The sequence below is a fragment of the Homo sapiens genome, chromosome 1 (assembly GCF_000001405.40).
Source record: "Homo sapiens chromosome 1, GRCh38.p14 Primary Assembly".
NCBI lineage: Eukaryota > Metazoa > Chordata > Mammalia > Primates > Hominidae > Homo > Homo sapiens.
Window position 1 is genome coordinate 54513724 of NC_000001.11, and position 20875 is coordinate 54534598.

Below are 20875 nucleotides of genomic sequence, written 5' to 3' on the forward strand. Positions count from 1 at the left end.
TTGCTGCGGGGAAGGGCTGAAGGTGGAAGTTAAGTCAAATTGGCTCAAACCCTGACTCAATTCCTTCCTCTATAATTTTTATTGGGCATATCTCCTTTCTCAGCCTTAGCTGCAAAATGGGGTTGATAATCCCTACCCTGCTTGCCTTTAAAACTTAGAACACTTGGCTACTCACGGTGGCTCACAGTAATCCCAGCACTTTGGGAGGCCGAGGCGAGCAGATTACTTGAAGTCAGGAGTTCAAGACCATCCTGGCCAACATGGCGAAACCCCGTCTCTACTAAAAGTACAAAAATTAGCCGGGCATGGTGGCGGGAGCCTGTAGTCCCAGCTACTGGAGAGGCTGAGGTGCGGGAATCACTCGAACCCGGGAGGCGGAGGTTGCAGTGAGCTGAGATCGCCCTACTACGCTCCAGCCTGGCGAGAGAGCGAGACTCTGTCTCAAAAACAAAACAAAACAAGAAGAAAAAGAAACCTTAGAACACTGTAGTGGATATTGGTAGTTTGCCTCCTGGTCCTTATCCAGTCCTCCTTCTGACATTTGGGGGTCGCCCCTCCCTATTCCCGGTCCAAGTGCTTTGGGTGGGACTCCACCCCTGGATCCAGCCAATCCGAACATACCATTCCGCTGCCTGTGGTGATTGGCTCAGAGGTAGGCATGTGACCTGAGTGCATCCAATCAGAGTGAGTCCAAGTGCTGCCATAGGAGATCTTGGAAAAGCCCAGGCCGGGCTCCGTGGCTCACATCTGTAATCCCAGCACGGTGGGAGGCTGAGGCGGGTGGATCACGAGGTCAGGAGTTTGAGACCAGCCTGGCCAATATGGTGAAATCCCGTCTCTACTAAAAATACAAAAATTAGCCGGGCCCGGTGGCTGGCGCCTGTAATCCCAGCTATTCGGGAGCCTGGGGCAGGAGAATCGCTTGAATCCGGGAGGCGGAGGTTGCAGTGAGCTGAGATCACGCCACTGCACTCCAGCCTGGGCGACAGAGTAAGACTCCGTCTCAAAAGAAAAAAAAAGAAAAGCCCCTCTTTCCAGGTGGACTTGACTGAGGTGATGTGAAGCTGGAGCCGCTGCTGCCCTGTCATCATTATGTAGATCCTTAGAGTGAAGCCAACACACAGGGGCCAGTAAGAGAAGGGGTGGAGAAAGATGGCTTGGTGACTTTGCTGGAGCCCCTGAATCAGCCATGCCTGAAGCAGCACAACACCCCTGGGCTTCTCAGTTATGTGGGCCAGTGAATTTCCTCTTTGTTGAGGCTTGCTTGTGTTGGATTTTCTGTCACTTACAACACAAAGATTTTTAACTGGTAGTACTGGATGCCATGTTTCTTTGTTTTTGTTTTTAAAGAGATGGGATTGGCCGGGCGCAGTGGCTCACGCCTGTAATCCCAGCACTTTGGGAGGCCGAGGCGGGCGGATCACCTGAAGTCAGGAGTTCGAGACCAGCCTGGCCAAAATGGTGAAACGCTGTTTCTACTAAAAATAGAAAAAAATTAGCTGGGCGTGATGGCACACGCCTGTAAGCCCAGCCACTCGGGAGGCTGAGGCAGGAGAATCGCTTGAACCCGGGTGACAGAGGTTGCAGTCAGCCAAGATGGCACCATTGCACTCCAGCCTGGGCAACAAGAGTGAAACTCCATCTCAGAAGGAAAAAAAAAAAAAAAAGAGAGAGAGAGAGAGATGGGCTCGCACACCTGTAATCCCAGCACTTTGAGAGGCTGAGGTGGGCGGATCACTTGAGGTCAGGAGTTCGAGACCAACCTGGGCAACACGGTGAAACTTAGAACTTTAAAATTTAGTACTTTAAAACTCTATAAAAAATACAAAAGTTAGCTGGGTGTGGTGGTGCATATCTGTAGTCTCAGCTACTCAGGAGGCTGAGGTGGGAGAATCACCTGAGTCTGGGAGGCAGAGTTTGCAGTGAGCTGAGATGGTGCCACTGCACTCTAGCCTGGGTGACAGAGCCAGGCCTTGTCACAGAGAGAGAGAGAGACAGAGAGAAAGAGAAGGAGAGAGAGATGGAGTCTTATTCTGTTGCCCAGGCTGGAGTATAGTGGCACGATCATAGCTCACTTCAACCTTAACCTCTCCTGAGTAGCTAGGGCTACAGGTGTGTGCCACCATACCTGGCTAATTTTTGTATTATTATTATTATTTTTTTTTTTTTTGTGGAGATGGGGGTCTCACTATGTTGCCCAGGCTGGTTTTGAACTCCTGGGCTCAAGCGATCTGCCTGCCTTAGCCTCCCAAAGTGCTGGGATTACAGGTATGAGCTACCTCCCCCAGCCATGTTGATGTGAGCTAAGACTTGAACTACAGGGCTTTTCTTTTCTGCTGAGACAGGATCTCATTCTGTTGCCCAGGCTGGAGTGAGGTGGTGCGATCACAGCTCACTATAGCCTCAACCTCCTGGACTCAAGCAATTCTCCTATCTCAGCCTCCTGAGTAGCTGGGACTAGAGGTGCATGCCACCACACCTGCCTAATTTTTGTATTTTTTGTAGAGATAGGGTTTCTCCATGTTGCCCAGGCTGGTCTTGGACTCCTGAGCTCAAGTGATCCTCCCACTTTGGCCTCCCAAAGTGCTGGAATTACAGGCAGGAGCCATTGTGTCTGGCAGGTTTTTTTGTTTTTTGTTCTATTTTTTGCTTAGAAGATTGTGAGACTCATCAGTCCTAGGCCAGAGGAATGCTCTGGAGTGTTTATTGAATAGGTGAATATATGAGTCATCTGACTTGTGGTCTTCTGTTATCACTTAGGTGAATGGATATGACAGTAGCTAAAAGGAGAGGCTGGAAGAGATTATAGAATTTTGTGGAGAAAAATTCGTTCTTTTCCTGAGGGAAGGCCAAAGCCTGCAGTCATGATGGAGTTGGAGAAAGGTGTGAAGGGCCAGGCCAGGAGCCCAGGGAGAGGAGGCCTGAGAGAGGAGGTGAGAGTCCCTTGCAGGGAGCTGCAACGGCTCATGTGGGCTTCCCAGCCCAGCCTCTCCCAACTGCAGCAGAGGGAGGGAACCTAGAGCAGAAAGTGCTTGGGCTCTCCATCTGACAGCCCGTTCAAATGCTTGCTCTTCTGGTGACAGAGTCTGTGTCACTCTGTCTGCCTCACATGGCTGTGAGGTTGGATCTAATTCACCTTGTGTCCCGAGCTGCCTGGCACAGAGGGTGCCTCAGAACCAACTCATGGAGTGAGGTGGCTGCTGACTGGGCTAGTCCCTTCCCAGGGAGAATGGCATTTCTGTTAGAGTCCCAGTTGCATGTCTCTCTCTTCTATCCATCTTCTTTCTCATCAGTATTCAATTTTTCTTCTCAGCCCTGTGGAATGAAGCCTGTGAACAGCCCATTTTCACTTCTGAAGCAGTTGGTCCCCCACAAAAAGATTATTTTCTCCAAAGCAGATGAAAATCCCCTTTCCCTCCGCCTGCTCCTGCAGCCTGTGGTCATGGAGGCAAAGAAATCACCCCTTCCTCTGCCACTTACCAGCTGTGGTCCTGTGCAAATGTCTTAGCTTCTCTGAGCCTCTGTTTCCTTTCTGTAGAGTGAAAATAATTCATTATTTGTGAGATTATGTGAGGATTAAGTAATACTGTATGTGGAAGGGCTGAACACAGTGCTTGGCACAAAGTGGGTGCAATAAAAGAGAATTCCCTTCTAGACTCCACCAAGCATAGCACTGGATTAAGAACACTTCTGTGGATTGATCTCACATGATCCCACATGTCCATTACCTGTGTGTGTCCATGTGTGTGCATGTACATTGTACCTATGGATATGTGCGTGCTATGTTTGTGTGCATCTGAGTGTGGGTATGTGTAAATAGACACATGCGTTCATATGTGTGCTTGTCTGTGCACATGATTATGTGTGTGCGTGTGTGTTTTCCCGGCACTATTAGTAGGAAGCTGTAATTATGCTTTATGCCAGCAGCAGCGGCAACAGCAGTGGCGGTGGCAGCTCTGTTTCCCCAGCCATTAAGCTGCCTCCCTCCACTCATCTGGGGGTGGGGAGCTGGAGCCACTGCCTGCCCTCCCCATCCCTGCATGCTGCATGAGCACCCAGCCATCCCGCTCTCTCACCATATGCCTGTCTTTTACAGTTCTTTGGTGCGTGGTGCTCATCGAGTGGCTAATTAGCTAAATGAATTAATTGACATCCATACATGCAATTAGCAAATGGTTATAAGCAGCTATTCTCCTTGGGATGTCTAAAATTCTAAGGGTCAGATGCTGGGAGGGTTACTTTAATGAGTAAATAAGAGATAAGAGCGGCCAGTGTAAGTACCTGGGGGGCTCTGTGAACTTGATGGCCTGGCAGTCGGGGGACGGGACCCAGGAAGGAGGGAGGAGGTGGTTATGAGCCTGGTAGGGGGAAACTGACTCCATTCACCAGGAATCAGGAGCCTCAGGTTCTGGCCCCATTTATGCGACTTTCTCTATGACCTTGAGTAAATCCCTTCCCGGTCTGGGTCACAGTCTCCGCTTCTGATGGGGATGGATGGAACCAGCTTGTCTCAGAACTCTCCCTGCTCCAATATCCTCCCTTGCCTTAAGCCAAAGTTTCTAATAAGAAACAGGGCTGTGTAGAGATGGGGCGAAGTGCCCCCCTTCTTTATTCCAGGGCACACCATTACTATGCTCTCCCACTTGTAGGTTTTGGTACATGCTGTGCCCCTGCTCCTAATGCCCGGTCCACCTTCTCTGCCTTTAAGATAATGCAGAGTGGCATTGTCCAGTAGAATGTCCTGAATGACGGATATGTTCTATATCCCTACTATCCCATATGGTAGCCATGAGCCACATGTAGCTGTTGGGTCCTTGAAATATGACTAGTGCAACTGAAGGGCTGAATTTTTAATTTATTTACTTTTAATTCATTTAAATTTAAATAGCCACATGTCGCTAGTGGCTATTGTATTGGGCAGTGCAGCTCGAGCTCCTTTAAGATCCAGTCCATTCATTCATTCATTCATTCATTCATTCATTCATTCATTTGCTAATTCATTCATTCATCCAACAAATATTTTTTGAGTATCTGCTGTGGCCAGGCACTGAGGAGACTATTGAGAATAAGCAGGCATGACCCTTGCCCTCATGAAGCATTTGTATGGGAAGGGATAGGAGAGACAGGAGAGAGAACAAGAACTAGACAAAATAATTGGAAGTTATAATAGAAGCTAGGAAAGAAACAAGGGGCTGAGACAGAGAATAGAAAGCCTGGGGCAGCCTTCTTCTTCTTCTTTTTTTTTTTTTTTTTTTTTTGAGACGGCAGCCTTCTTTAGATGGGGTGGTCAGGAAAGGTGTCTCTGAGGTCTGAGGAGGAGCCATGTAAGCTGAGATCCAGGGGTGAGAAGGAGCTTTCCAGGGAGAGTGTGTGTGTTTATGTTGGGGGGTGCAGGGGCTGCTCCAGGCAGAGGGCCCAGCAGTGCTGCGGTGGAGGCAGGAGAGAGCTGGGTGAGTCTGAGGAAATCAGTGGAGTTGGAGTGTAGTGAGTGTGGGGCAAGACCAGGAAAGGAGGGGCAGGGGCCAGATGAAAGACCATAGGGAGGACTATGGATTTTGTTGTAAGGGCAGCAGAGGTCACTAAAGGGTTCTAGACAGGGGCACATCTTCAGAAGTTGACCTGGCTGCTTCCTAGGGCTGGGTTGGAGGAAGCCCTAAGTGAAGGTGGGTGATGGTCGTCTAGGGAAGGGGAACTGGCCAGGGTGGTACAAGATGCCACTACAGGGGCCAGGTGTGGTGGTTCACACCTGTAATCCCAGCATTTTGGGAGGCCGAGGTGGATGGATCACTTGAGGTCAGGAGTTCGAGACCAGTCTGGCCTACATAGTGAAACCCTGTCTCTACTAAAAATACAAAAAAATTAGTTGGGCGTGGTGGCACACACCTGTGATCTCAACTACTCAGGAGGTTGAGATGGGAGAATCACTTGAACCCAGGAGGCAGAGGTTGCAGTGAGCCGAGATCGTGCCACTGCACTCCAGCCTGGGTGACAGAGCAAGACTCTGTCTCAAAAAACAAAACAAAACAAAACAAAAAAACTTCATTGGATTTGTTTCAAAAAAAAAAAGATACCACAACACAACAACCTGGATACCACAACAACCTGGAAGCTTTCCCTGGCTTCCCCGGGCTGGACCAGTCTCCTCTCTGTGCTCCTGCCACCCCCAGGCCTGACTGTGTCATGGCACTTTCACCCCTTGCTGTCACCATCTATTAAGGTCAGACCCACCAGATGTGGGCCTTCCCCAACGTGGCCATGTCTGATTCTGTGTCTCCACCTCGCTCAGCCCAGGCCCTGGTGCGCAGAGCAGTGTTAAGGGGACACAGCCTCTCCCCAGCTCGGCCTGGGGGTCCTCCATCTCCTGGGAAGAGGCTGCCTGGGAAGCTAGCAGTGATGATGGGACAGAGGGCTGGGCCTTTGCCAGCTCTGCAACCCTGGGCCCCTGCCTTCTCCGCTACCTCACCTGCCTCGTGGCAGCACTTTAGAGTTTATAGAGCCTCTTTTCCATCTGTGGCCTCAGCAACTCTCCAAAAAGCCCTGAGATGGAGGTGAAGAGGTAATTCTTTTCCCCATTTTACAGATAAGCAAACAGGAGCCCAGAGAGGCCAAGTGCCTAGGCCTAGAGCAGGGCCCATCAATCTCTCTGAAGGCTACCAAGTACAGAGGTTAAGTGTACAGCTTTGGGGTCAGACAGACTGGTTTGAATGCTGGCTGTTAATTTCTCAGCTGTGTGACTTCAGGCAAAGTACTTAATCTGTGTGAGCATGAGTGTCCTCATCCAGAAAATGAGGAGAATAACTGCCTTTATGTTTCGGGGTGGTTGTGGGGCTTGTAAAGTGCTCAGGGGAATACCTGTCACATGACAAACATTTAGTACTGGTGGCAGTTGCTATTTGGGAATCTGGCAGGAGTACAGAACTCCCCAACAAAATGCACATAGGGTCTCAGAAGGTTCACAGAACCCCTGCCGCCCAGCCATGATGCCTTGGGAAACATGGGCGCCAGGTGAAGAGAATGTAATGAGAAAGACCTATTTATAATGCAGTAAAACAAGCATCTAAGGAACATTATAAAATGTCTAAGGAGTAAAAACTGCAAAACCAGCATGGAAAAAAGTTAATATTTAACTGAAGGGCATTAAAAAGACTTAAATAAATGGTGAGAAAGACTTAACAATGATAAAGGTATAAATTCTCCTTAAATGAATAGATAGCCGGGGGCGGTGGCTCATGCCCGTAATCCCAGCACTTTAGGAGGCCGAGGTGGGCCGATCACCTGAGGTCAGGAGTTCGAGACCAGCCTGACCAACATGAAGAAACCCTGTCTCTACCAAAAATACAACAAGAGCAAAACTCCGTCTAAAAAATAAATAAATAAATGAATAAATAAATAAATAAATAAATAAATAAATAAATAAATAAATAAATTTAATGCAACTCCAATCTGATATTCCAACAGGGATTTCTAAGGAACTTGACATACTGATTCTGAAATATGTGTATAAGAATAAAGATCAAAAAAATAGCCAAGGCATTTCTAAAGAATAAGGTGGTTAGACATGCTGTATTAATCTGCTCTTGCATTGCTATAAAGAAATACCTGAGACTGGATAATTTATTTTTTATTTTTATTTTTTGAGGTGGGGTCTCACTCTGTCACCCAGGCTGGAGTGCAGTGGCATGATCTCAGTTCACTGCAACTTCTGCCTCTCAGGCTCAAGTGATCTTCCCACCTCAGCTTCCCCAGTAGCTGGGACTATAGGCACGTGCCACCATGCCCAGCTAATTTTTTGTATTTTTTTTATAGAGATGGGGTATCCCCATGTTGCCCAGGCTGGTCTTGAACTCCTGAGCTCAAATGATCCACCAACCGCAGACTCCCAAAATGCTGGGATTACAGGTGTGAGCCACTGCGCCCAGCTGAGACTGGGTAATTTATAAAGAAAAGAGGTTTAATTGGCTCACAGTTCTGCAGCCTGTACAGGAAGCATGGCAGCATCTGCTTCTGGGGAGGCCTCTGGAAACTTCCAATCATGGTGGAAGATGAAAGGGAAGCAGATATATCTTACACGGCAGGGGCAGGAGCAGGAGCAAGAGAAAGAGTGGGGAGGTGCCACACGCTTTTAAACAACCAGATCTCATGAGAACTCACTATTGCCATGACAGCATCAAGGGAGAATAGTGTTAAACCACGAGAAACTGCCCCCATGATCTAATCACCTCTCACCAGGCCGCATCTCCAGCATTGAGGGTTACATTTCAACATGAGATTTGGGTAGGGACATGGATCCAAACCATATGACTTGCCCAACCAGATATCAAGATTTATGAAAAGGCCCTAAAAATTAAAACAGTGTGGAGTTGATGCAGGAATGGACAAAATGATGAGTGGAATAGAATTGAAAGCCTGCCAGAGATTTGCATTTAATTTACATAATAGAAGCAAAAGACAGTATTGCAGAGATGAAAACTATGGCAGATTCTGGAGGGAGACTGCCTAGGTTTGACACTTATTAGCTGTGTGATCTTGGACAAGTTGCTGAATCTCTCTGGCCTCAGTCTCCCTGGTGGGGAAAGGGAAACTATTCAATAAATGGAAGTGGAAAACATAGTTATAGACACGGAAAAATGAAATTGGATTTGTACCCAACTTTTTAACCAAAAGTCCATATCAACAATAGCACTTTGAAACTTCGAGGAGAAAGTGTAAGTGAAAATCTTTTTGACTTTGGGGTAATTCTTTACAAAGGCCTTAAAAGTGCTAACCATAGGATGGGCATGGTGGCTGACGCCTGTAATCCCAGTACTTTGGGAGGCTGAGGCGGGCAGAACACCTCAGGTCAGGAGTTCAAGACCAGCCTGGGGAACATGGTGAAACCCCGTCTCTACTAAAAATACAAAAAAATTAGTTAGGTGGGTGGCACACGCCTGTAATCCCAGCTACTCGGGAGGCTGAGGCACGAGACTCGCTTGAACCCAGGAGGCAGAGGTTGCAGTGAGCTGAGACTGTACCATTGCACTCCAGCCTGGGTGACAGAGCAAGACTGTCTGAAAACAAACAAACAACAACAAAAAAAAAACAGTGCTAACCATAAATGATTGATATAGGCCAGGCATGGTGTCTCATGCCTGTAATCTCAGCCCTTTGGGAGGCTGAGGCTGGGAGTTCAAGGTTACAGTGAACAGTGAATTATGATAGTGCCACTGCACTCCAGCCTGGGTGACAGAGCAAGCCTTGTCTCTAAAAATACATACACACATACATATATATATATATATATATATATATATATATATATACACACACACATACATAGAAGATTGATATAGTTGACTATATTAAAACCCAGAACTTCTTTTTCTGAAAAGGAATCTTAAAGTAAAAATACTCCAGAGGGCTGGGTGAGGTGGCTTACGCCTGTAATCCCAGTATTCTAGGAGGCTGGGGTGGGAGGATTGCTTGAGCCCAGGAGTTTGAGAACAGCCTGGACAACATAGTGAGACTCTGTCTCTACAAAAAAAAAAAAAAAAAAAAAATGTAGCCAGACGTGGTGGTGTGTGCCTGTAGTCCCAGCTACTCAGGAGATTGACGTGGGAGGATCTCTTGAGCTTGGGAGTTCCAGGCTGTAGTGCGCTGTGTTATTGCTACTGCACTCCAGCCTGGGAGACAGAGACAGACCCCCATCTTAAAACAAACAAACAAACAAACAAACAAACAAACTCTACAAAGAAGACATTTGTAATGCAGATAACCAATAACAGATAGGTGTCAAGAATATGTAAAATTATGTCTAGCCTTAAAAAAGAAAAAAAAAAGACTGGCCGGGTGAGGTGACTCACACCTGTAATCCCAGCACTTTGGGAGGCTGAGGCAGGTGGATCACGAGGTCAAGAGATCGAGACCATCCTGGGCAACATGGTGAAACCCCATCTCTACTAAAAATACAAAAAAAAAAAAAAAAATTAGCCAGGCGTGGTGGTGTGTGCCTGTAGTCCCAACTACTTGGGAGGCTGAGGCAGAAGAATCGCTTGAACTCAGGAAGTGGAGGTTGCAGTGAGCCAAGATGGCACCACTGCACTCCAGCCTGGGCGACAGAGCGAGACTCTTGTCTCAAAAAAAAAAAAAAGAAAAGAAAAGAAAAGAAAAGAAAAAGACTATGTAAAATTAAAATTAGTAAGAAAGAACAACTAGCCCAGTCAAAATAAATAAATAAATAAAAAGGCGGGGTTGGGGGGGAAACATGACCAAACAGTTCTTAGAAGAGAAAATGTGAACATGTATAGTCAATAAACTTCTGAAGAGATGCTCATCTTACTAGTAATCAGGGAAATGAAATTCAAGACAATTAAATCCCATTCTGCATCTGAATGGCCAAAATTGAAAAGTCTGACAATTAAAGAGGCTGTGGATCAATGGGACTGCTTATACATTGCTGGTTGGAGTATAAATTGGTACAACTGCTTTGAAAACCAATTTATTATTATTATTTTGTAACACTGGACATTTTTATATATCCCAGGAACTCCACTCTAGATATACTCAAGAGAAACTCTTGTATAGCACCAGGAGTCATGTATAAGGATATTCCTTACAGCAGTCTGCGGTAGCAAAACAGCAATAACAAAACCCCTAACTCCATCAGGGAGAGAGAATAAGAAATACGAATTCAGGATAGTGATTCCCTGGGGATGAGATGGGGAGAAGAATATTGGTAGATTAAATTTGTCACTGATGCTATACAATTTTGGTGGTAGGTTCACAGATCTTCATTACATTATTAAAAATAAGTGGGGCTGGGTGTGGTGGTTTATGCCTGTAATTCCAGCATTTTGGGAGGCCCAGGTGGGAGGATCACTTGAAGCCAGGAGTTTGAGACCAGCCTGGACAACATAGTGAGACCCTGTCTTTATAAAAAATAAAAAATTAGCTGGGTGTGGTGGTGTGTGCCTGTAGTCTCAGCTGCTCGGGAGGCTGAGGTGGGAAAATCACTTGAGGCTGGGAGATTGAGTCTACAGTGAACTGCCCTCCAGCTAGGACAACAGAGTGAGACCTTGTCTCAAAAAATAAATAAATAAAATAAAAATGAAAAATAAATGGATGCAGATGGCTGTGGAGAAGCTCTCTGATGGGATCCGCAAGTCTGCTGCTGACGCAGTGAAGCTGGAGTGGATGCTGACAGAATGAATGTTCAATGCAGAGAATGGAAAGTAGTGCAGCCATGAGGCTGGACTCCAGATCTGCACTGCTGGCCAGCTGGGGTCTGACTGCACATGGCTTCTGATGAATCTTGCGTTTTTTACAAATCGGAGCAGGGACAGATCATAGATTTCTGATTTTATGTAAAATTTTGCCTAATACATTAAAGCAGTCACTTAAAAAAAATGGATGTTTGTTAAAACCCATAGAATGTATACGAATGAACCCTAATGTAAGCTATGGACTTTAATTAATAGTATATCAGTATTGGCTCATCAGTTGAAACAAATGCCCCCTACTAATTCAAGATTTTAATAATAAGGGAAATTGGAGTGGGAAATAAGGATATATCGGAACTCTCTGTGCTTTTCACTCAATTTTTCTGTAAACCTGAAACTGCTAAAAAATAGTCTATTAGTTAAATAAATTAAAAAGTGGACAAACAAATGAAGAATAAATAAATATAAAAGACAGCTATGAGTGTGTTGAGCCAAGGATTATGATTAATCCAGTTCTATGCATCTGAGAGTTATTAAAAACAAACAAGTAAATCAAAGACAAACAGATTCCCAGACTGGAACCAAGAAAAATCTAACATTATGAAATAAAAGTAAGAGCCATGCTTTGCACTCAGATGTCAATTATCTAAACAGAACGTGGAGATTAAAAGGGATTCATATAGGAAGAGTTCTAGAAGTTTTCATTGATAATGCAATGATCTTTTGTTGTTTTTTTTTTTTATTGTTATTTTTATTTGAGACAGGGTCTTGTGCTGTCACCCGGGCTGGAGTGCAGTGGCATGATCTCAGTTCACTGCAAACTCTGCCTCCCAGGCTCAGGTGATTCTCTCATCTTAGCCTCCTGAGTAGCTGAGACCACAGGTGGGTGCCACCATGCCTGGCTAATTTTTGTTTTTTTTGTAGAGATGGGTCTTACTATGTTGCCCAGGCCGGTCTTGAACCCCTGAGCTCAAGTGATCCACCTGCTGTGGCCTCCCAAAGTGCTGGGATTACAGGTGTGAGCCGCTGTGCCTGGCCTGTTGTTTTTAAAGATGACAAAAATATAGTCTCAGGCTGTTTCAATATTATTACTAATTGAGTTTAAAATGGTGTTCTGACAATATTTATTTATTTATTATTATTATTATTTGAGACGGAGTTTCACTCTTGTTGCCCAGGCTGGAGGGCAACGGTGTGATTTCAGCTCATTGCAATCTCTACTTCCCAGGTTCAAGCAATTCTCCTGCCTCAGCCTCCTGAGTAGCTGGGATTACAGGCGCCCACTACCATGCCTGGCTAATTTTTTATATTTTTAGTAGAGACAGGGTTTCACCATGTTGGCCAGGCTGGTCTCGAACTCCTTACCTCAGGTGATCCACTCACCTCGGCCTCCCAAAGTGCTGGGATTACAGAAGACAGTCACTGTGCCCGGCTGACAATATTTATTTATTTTTAAAATTTCCCCTCCTTAACAAGACTGCACTAAAATGACAGCAAAGAAAATAAAAAGGTACAAATCCACAATAATGAAGAGGCTGGAAGGGAGAGATATCAGCAAATAAGAAATTTCAACAAATTGTAGCAGTTAGCCAATAAAAAAGACATAAAAGAGATGGAGGAGTAGCCTAGCATACTATGGAGGTGGATGTAGCTAAGGAGGAAGGTGGTATGTCTTGCAGAACTGACTGATATGGTTTGGCTCTGTGTCCCCACCCAAATCTCATCTCGAATTGTAATCCTGGCATGTTGGAGGAGGGGCCTGGTGGGAGGTGATTGGATGAGGGGGGTGGTTTCCTCCATGCTGTTCTCATGACAGTGAGGGAGTTCTCACGAGATCTGGTTGTTTGATAAGTGTTTGGCAGTTCTCCCTTTACTTTCTCTCTCCTGCCACCATGTAAGATGTGCCTTCCTTCCCCTTTGCCTTCCTCCATGACTGTAAGTTTCCTGAGGCCTCCCCAGCCATGAGGAACTGTGAGTCAATTAAATCCCTTTTCTTCATAAATTACCCAGTCTCAGGTAGTATCTTTATAGCAGTGTAGAAACGGACTAATATACCAATAGTCGCAGGACTAAAGGTGAGGATAAGACTTGGGCAGAGAGTTAGGGATTAAATGAAGGTCCTGTTGCATCTGAATGCCCAGAAACTTGGCATCTACCACACAGGAACACCATTTGAAGACTCTTCTCCAAAGAAATTGGATGGTCCCAGAAAAAAGACCTTTGCAAAAAGCCCTCTGGGGTCTCCCAGCATCATGACCTGTTTCTTACCCCAAATCCTGAATTTGCCTACTAGTAAGCCTCACCCTGTTCACACAGAGCTCCCAATCTATTGTCTCATTCTGAAATATGGACTGACAGCTCATCAGCATACATTTGAGAAAAGTCTGCACAAAGCAAAGGTCAGAAACAACCCTAGAGGAAACAGAACTCATTCAGGAGACAGAAGAGAACTCTAAAATACTTAATGTCTTCAGAGAGATTCAAAGTCATGCTTGCTTTGGCAGCACATATACTAAAATTGGAGATTCAAAGCCATCTTAGGTTCATACAACATGAGTAGATGCTTTGAAAAAGGAACAGACTGGCCGGGCCTGGTGGCTCACACCTGTAATCCCAGCACTTTGGGAGGCTAAGGCGGGCGGATCATGAGGTCAGGAGTTCGAGACCAGCCTGACCAACATGGTGAAACCCTGTCTCTACTAAAAATTCAAAAAAATGTAGCTGAGCATGGTGGCACTCGCCTGTAATCCCAGCTACTCAGGAGGCTGAGGCAGGAGAATCGCTTGAACCCAGGAGAGGCGAGGTTGCAGTGAGCAGAGATCACGCCACTGCACTCCAGCCTGGGCAGCGGAGGGAGACTCCATCTCAAAAAAACAAAAAACAAAAGAAAAAGGAACAGACTGGCCAGGCAGGGTGGCTCACACCTGTAATCCCAGCACTATGGGAGGCCAAGGTGGGTGGATCACCTGAGGTCAGGAGTTTGAGGCCAGCCTGGCCAACACAGTGAAACCCCATCTGTACTAAAAATACAAAAATTAGCCCGGTGTGGTGGTGTGTGCTTGTAATCCCAGCTACTCGGGAGGCTGAGGCAGAAGAATCGCTTGACCTAAGAGGCAGAGGTTGCAGTGAGCCGAGATCGCACTACTGGACTTCAGCCTGGACGACAGAGCAAGACTCTGTTTCAGGGGGAAAAAAAAGATAGAAAAAAGAACAAACTAAACAATAATGGCAACAAAAAGAAAGTGTCCTTGAAAAGTAAAAAATATGACTGCTAAAATAGAAAAGTAAAATCATCGAGTAATTAAAATCAAATATTCCATAAATTAAAATGAGACGAAACAATGGAAATAGCAGTGGAAAGATAAGAGACACAGGATCAATTCAATAACAAACTAATAGGTATTCAGGGATAGAACAGAGGAACTTATCAAAGAAATAATATAAAAGAATTTCCTGGGCATAAGTCTATAGATGGAAAGGGCCTACCAAGTGCCCAGAAAAATGAATAAAATGAGAATCACATCTAGAAACATCATCAAGACTTCAGAAAACCTAGGATAAAGAGAAACCCCTAAAAGCTTCTAGAGAGAAAAAAATATTCCAGATTACTTACTGTGTTAGGATTAGTTTCAGTCGCAAGGGACAGACTTCCTCAAATATCAATGGCTTAAGTAAGGCAAATGTTTAGGTAATAATAAGGCAAATAAGGTAAAAGTCTTCCTCTTTCTCACATGCAATAAACACAGGCAATTCAGGCTGGTATGACATCTCCATGACTACCAGAAACCTGGCTGCCTCTTTCTTGAGTTTCCACTATCCCCAAAATGCTGCTTTCACCTATGGTCCAAGATGGCTGCTTGGGCACCTGCCAACATGTTTATGTTCCAGGTAGCAAGAAGGAGGCAGCAGGGGAGAAAGGCATGTCCCTTCCTGCTTTAAGAATGCATCCCAGAAGTTGTATACACCACTTTCACTTACATCCTACTGGTCAGATCTTGGTTATCTGCATATCTACTGGTCACACTTAGATGCAGGGAAGGCAGGCACATGCAGTCTTTATTTTGAGTGGCATGTGCACGGTTAAAATTCAGGATTCTAATACTGAGGAAGAAAAACAATAGATATCAGGGGATGATCAGAAGTCTCTGTGTCACATTTACAAAGGAAAATAGTCAAAATGGATTTTTTTTTAGAGGCAGGGTCTCACTCTGTCACCCAGGCTGGAGTGCAGTGATGTGATCACAACTCACTGCAGCCTTGACCTACCAGGCTTAAGCAATCCTCCTGCCCCAGCCTCTCAAGTAGCTGGGACCACAGGTGTGCACCATTATGACTGGCTAATTAACAAAAAAATATTTTTGTAGAGATGGAGTCTCCCTATGTTGCCCAGGCTGGTCTCGAACTCCTGGGCTCAAGCGATTCTCCTGCCTTGGCCTCCCAAAGTGCTGAGATTACAGACGTGGGCCACCGCATTTGGCCCCTCCTTGACTTAAATGTGTGTATCTTGGGCCAGCAGCCTTTGTTGGGTGTGCTGGTTGTTTTCTTATAGTCTCCCAGCTCTAAGATCGCCCTTGTGCATTATGGTCTGTTTTGACCAAAACTCAGCAAACCACCGTTTCCCAGGTGTCCTTGCCAGTTGGCTTCCTGTTAGGTTCTTCTGCTGGGAGGAACTGGCAGATGATCTCAAGGTAAGAGGAGAAACAGGACTTCGTTCCAGCAGCAAGGGACAGCAATGGCTTCAGCCCCTGGCTTCCTTTGGCTGTCTCAGCACCACCCATATCCAGTCCCCTCAGAAGTTTCAGTGCCATCTGGCCACATCTCTTAGCGGTGTGAAGACCAGTCCCCCAGAGGTCCCATTCCCAGCTACTCAGATATCCACACACCAGCCGGGTGATGCCCCTTGAAAGTCTGTAGCAGCCATGTGGGGCCTCCCCTCCAAGCAGTTAGGTTCTAGTAGCCATGCCTCTTCCCTTTTATTCCTGATTTGGCATTTACTAGTATCTGATTACTTCTTTCCCAGGAGTGGCAGCTGCTTTTTGTAGTTACTAATATCTGGGTGATATCAACATCCCCTTTTTGTTTTTGCAAACTCCCAATATCTGTGTAACACCAATTCCCTACATTAAATTACCTGTGTCTGAGATTCCTTAGTTTCTGTTTTCCTGGACCTGATAGAGTGGGGAAGCCACCTCTTTAGCTCCCTTTCTCTGAATTATTTTGTCTAGTTGAAAGATTTACTGGGTGCTATGCTCTTAACTGGACCTTTACTGTGAGACACTGTAATGCATTTAGAGGTTTTATTTTATTTTTTTGAGACAGGTTCTGTTGCCCAGATCATGGTTCACTGTAGGCTCAAACTCCTAGGCTCAAGGGGCCCTCCCACCTCAGCTTCCTGAGTAGCTGGGACCACAGGTGTGCCACCATGCCTAGCTAATTTAAAAATTTTTTTGTTGAGATGGGGGTCTCATGATGTTGCCTAGACTGGTCTTGAACTCCTGGGCTTAAGTGATTCTCCTGCCGTGGCCTCCCAAAGTGCTGGGATTACAGGCTTGATCCAGTGTCTGGCCGCACTTAGAGGTTTTAACAAGAGGGTGACGGCAATACTTCTGCTTCTGCCTAGGCTTTTTCACTCAAAAATCTCCTCACTTTCATCAGCTATAGATTGAGATTGAGAAGTAATCCTGTAAATCCTGATGTCTGGATTCTTTCTGTTTGATTTCATTCTTGCTGGTAAACTGGCCAATTATTTTCTGAGGCTAATAATTTTTGGAGTACCTTGTCAAATATAGCCAACAGCAACCAATACACACTACTAATGTTCTGTTGCTAACCTCTTTTTTTTTTTTTTTTTTTTTTTTTGAGATGGAGTCTCCCTCTGTTGCCCAGGCTGGAGTGCAGTGGCATAATCTCGGCTCACTGCAACCTCCGCCCTCTGGGCTCAAGTGATTCTCCCATCTCAGCCCTCTAGTAGCTGGGACTATAGGCGTGCACCACCATCGCTTGGCTAATTTTCATATTTTTAGTAGAGACAGCGTTTCACCATGTTGGCCAGGCTGGTCTCGAACTCCTGACCTCAAACAATCCGCCTGCCTCGGCCTCCCAAAGTGTTGGGATTATAGGCGTGAGCCACCACGCCTGGCCATATTTCAGATTTGGTTACAGTGCCACTCCACTTCTGGTACCAATTTCCACGTCAGTTGGGAGAAGCTAGGTTATGAAGAGTTAACAAACACCCCCACAATCTCAATGCTTTACCACCAACGAAGGTGGTAATGAATGAGACGTAATGAATGAGAGTATTTGTGAACAGCACTGATGACCACCATACCAGTAAGCTTAGAGAGCAACCAGGCCAGATTGATTAGGAGGATGGAGGGGTCTGAGAAGATAAAAAGGGGATCCGTTAGACCGTCTGACATGACAGAGCACAGAGAGGTGCAACTGTCCAGACCTAATGAATGAGAATAACTTAAGGAAAACAGTACAAGAGAAAAGAAAGTAGAAACTCTGGGAAAAACAAACTGTTCTATAAGAAAGGAAGGGAAATGATAGTACCTAATTTGTCTCTGAAATAAATTAGTTATTTATCAGCTATTCTCATAGCTGATAATAATGTAAATGCTGCCAGGCGAGGTAGCTCACGCCTGTAATCCTAGCACTTTGGGAGGCTGAGGTGGGCTGATCACTTGAGGCCAGGAGTTCGAGACCAGCCTGGCCAACATGGTGAAACCCCGTCTCTACTAAAAATACAAAAATTAGCTGGACATCGTGGCACACACTTGTAATCCCAGCTACTCAGGAGGCTGACGCAGGAGAATCACTTGAACTCGGGAGGTGAAGGTTGCAATGAGCCGAGACTGCACCATTCTGGGTGAGATTCTAGCTCTGGGCGACAGAGAGCGACTCGGTCTCAAAAAAAAAAAAAAAAAAAAATTAAATGCTGTATATTAGGGTCAATCTGTAGTAAGGTTTGCAGATGTAATTACGGTTATAGAACAGAATTTAATGTTAACAACTTTGAAAATTTGAAAGTTCAAACAAAGTAAGAGAGGTAGAAAGGGGAGAGGAAAGTTAAAGGGGAAAGAAAGGGGCCTAATGTCCTCATTTTACAAAATGGGAAGTCACACACTATTATCTAAGATTACGGAACAATGGAAAAGAGTTTATTTGCAAAGGTAGGGAGTGAAAAACACTGATGGAGCATTGTTGGGGTTGGGAGAGAGAAGAGTTATGGTGCTGGTATGTGTTAATTTATTATCTATTATGGATGATCATCTACAGATAATGTTTAAAATTGATTAAGCAAGGAATTGCTGCGTAAGCACATTATTTTGAAAAATGGAAATGGCAACTAGAAAAAATAGCTAAAAGAACTAAAAAATGGTTGTGTCTTAGGAGCAGGACTAGCATTCAGGGGAGAGAGGTATAGATGAACTGCTTTTTACTATGAATCTGTCAATAATATTTAATTTGAAAATCATGTGCTTATATTTCTTAGGTTAAAAAGCCATTTAAAATACAAATACAAAAATTTGGCCAGGCGTGGTGGCTCACGCCTGTAATCCCAGCACTTTGGGAGGCCGAGATGGGTGGATCACGAGGTCAGGAGATCGAGACCATCCTGGCTAACACGTGAAACCCCGTCTCTACTAAAAAAATACAAAAAATTAGCCAGGCGTGGTGGTGGGCACCTGTAGTCCCAGCTACTCGGGAGGCTGAGGCAGAAGAATGGTGTGAACCCAGGAGGTGGAGCTTGCAGTGAGCTGAGATTGCGCCACTGCACTCCAGCCTGGGCGACAGAGCAAGACTCTGTCTCAAAAAAAGAAAAAAAAAAATTAGCTGGGCATGGTGGCTCACACCTGTAATCCCAGCTACTCAGGAGGCTGAGGCAAGAGAATTGCTTGAACCCAGGAGGTGGAGGTTGTAGTAAGCCAAGATTGTGCCATTGCACTCCAGCCCGGGCGACGGAGCTAGACCCTGTCTCAAAAAAAAAAAAAAAAAAAAAAGTAGCATACAATTTTTTTTTTTTTGAAACAGGGTCTCTGGGGGGAGGGGGGAGGGATAGCATTAGGAGATATACCTAATGCTAAATGACGAGTTAATGGGTGCAGCACACCAGCATGGCACATGTATACATATGTAACTAACCGGCACATTGTGCACATGTACCCTAAAACTTAAAGTATAATAATAATTTTAAAAAAATAATAATTTTCTTAATTATATTGTTGAGATTATAATGTATGTATATGTAATAAATAAAAGGAAAATAAGAAGAAGAAGAAAAAAGAAACAGGGTCTCGCTCTGTCACCTGGGGTGTGATCATGGCTTACTGCAGCCTTGATCTCCCTGGGTTCAGGTGATCCTCCTACCTCAGCTTCTCAAGTAGCTGGGACTACGGGTTGGTGCCACCACGCCCGGCTATTTTTTTGATTTTTTTGTAGAGACGAGGTTTTGCCATGTTGCTCAGGCTGGTCTCAAACTCGTAGGCTCAAGCATAGTGAGCTGGTTAGTGGCAGAACTGGATTCAAACACAGGTCTTTTGACTTTCAGTCTAGGGCTCGACTCGCTTGCTCCACAAGCTACTCAATAAACATTATTGAGCACACACTTTGGTCTGGATATGGTGCCAGGTGCTAGGGCCAAGATGAATAAGTCCTCTTGTATTGTTCATAGATTGCACACAGTCTAGAGCCTATTTGTTGTTGTTTTTTTTTGGAGATGGAGTCTGGATCAGTCACCCAGGCTGGAGTGCAGTGGCACGATCTCGGCTCACTGCAAGCTCCGCCTCCCAGGTTCACGCCATTCTCCTGCCTCAGCCTCCCGAGTAGCTGGGACTACAGGTGCCCACCACCATGCCCGGCTAATTTTTTGCATTTTTAGTAGAGACTGGGTTTCACCGTGTTAGCCAGGATGGTCTCGATCTCCTGTGATCACCGCGCCCGGCCCTAGTTTTTTTTTTTTAATTGACACATAAAAATCATATGTGGCCTGGCGTGGTGGCTCACGCCTGTAATCCCAGCACTTTAGGAGACCAAGGCAGGCAGATCACGAGGTCAGGAGATCGAGACTATCCTGGCCAACATGGTGAAACCCCGTCCCTACTAAAAATACAAAAATTAGCTGGGCGTGGTGGCATGTGCCTTTAATCCCAGCTACTCAGGGGGCTGAGGCAGGAGAATCGCTTGAACCAGGGAGTCAGAGGTTGCAGTGAGCCAAGATTGTGCCACTGCACTCCAGCTTGGCAACAGAGCAAGACTCCATCTCAAAAAAAAAAAAAAAAAACAAAAAACCGTATGTATTTATGGTATACTACATGATATTTTGAAATATATATACATTGTGGAATGGCCAAATCAAGCTAATTAACACACATATTACCTCACATATTTATGTATTTGTACTGAGAACATGTGTTATTGGTATTTTGATAGGGATTGCATTGAATCTTTAGATTGCTTTGAGTAGTATGGACACTTTAATAATATTAATTCTTCCAGTTCATGAACATGGGATATCTTTCAATTTATTTGTGTCTTCTTCAATTTCTTTCATCAATGTTTTTAGAGTTTTCAGTGTATAGCTCTTTCAACTCATTGGTTAAATTTATTCTTAAAATAAAATAACACAGTTCTAAATAACGCATGGGTCAAGAAGTCATAAGAGAGATAAGAAATTG

General features: G+C 45.1%; 2 long non-coding RNA genes and 1 pseudogene across 3 annotated transcripts, besides 1 other annotated feature; 2 read left to right on the forward strand and 1 right to left on the reverse strand.

The window, feature by feature from the left end:
* Nucleotides 1-705: 705 nt before the first annotated feature.
* Nucleotides 706-3660, forward strand: LOC105378735 (uncharacterized). 2 transcript variants are annotated; one of them, XR_947374.3, is made up of 3 exons: nt 706-792; nt 2761-2933; nt 3314-3406. It is a non-coding gene; the product is annotated as an uncharacterized LOC105378735 (long non-coding RNA). The 2 variants fall into 2 exon arrangements; XR_947373.3 differs by lacking the exon at nt 706-792 and adding an exon at nt 968-1053 and having other exon boundaries at nt 3314-3660.
* Nucleotides 2613-15054, reverse strand: LINC02784 (long intergenic non-protein coding RNA 2784). The gene is made up of 3 exons (NR_183669.1): nt 14809-15054; nt 3481-3532; nt 2613-3315 (listed from the first exon to the last, which is right to left on the reverse strand). It is a non-coding gene; the product is annotated as a long intergenic non-protein coding RNA 2784 (long non-coding RNA).
* On the forward strand, nt 11101-11374 carry TALDO1P1 (transaldolase 1 pseudogene 1; annotated as a pseudogene).
* Nucleotides 14839-15039: a silencer, noted in NCBI's record as "peak241 fragment used in MPRA reporter construct". NCBI's record gives its function as "represses an SCP1 promoter by STARR-seq MPRAs in K562 erythroleukemia cells {active_cell/tissue: K562}" and the evidence as "EXISTENCE:reporter gene assay evidence [ECO:0000049][PMID:32103011]".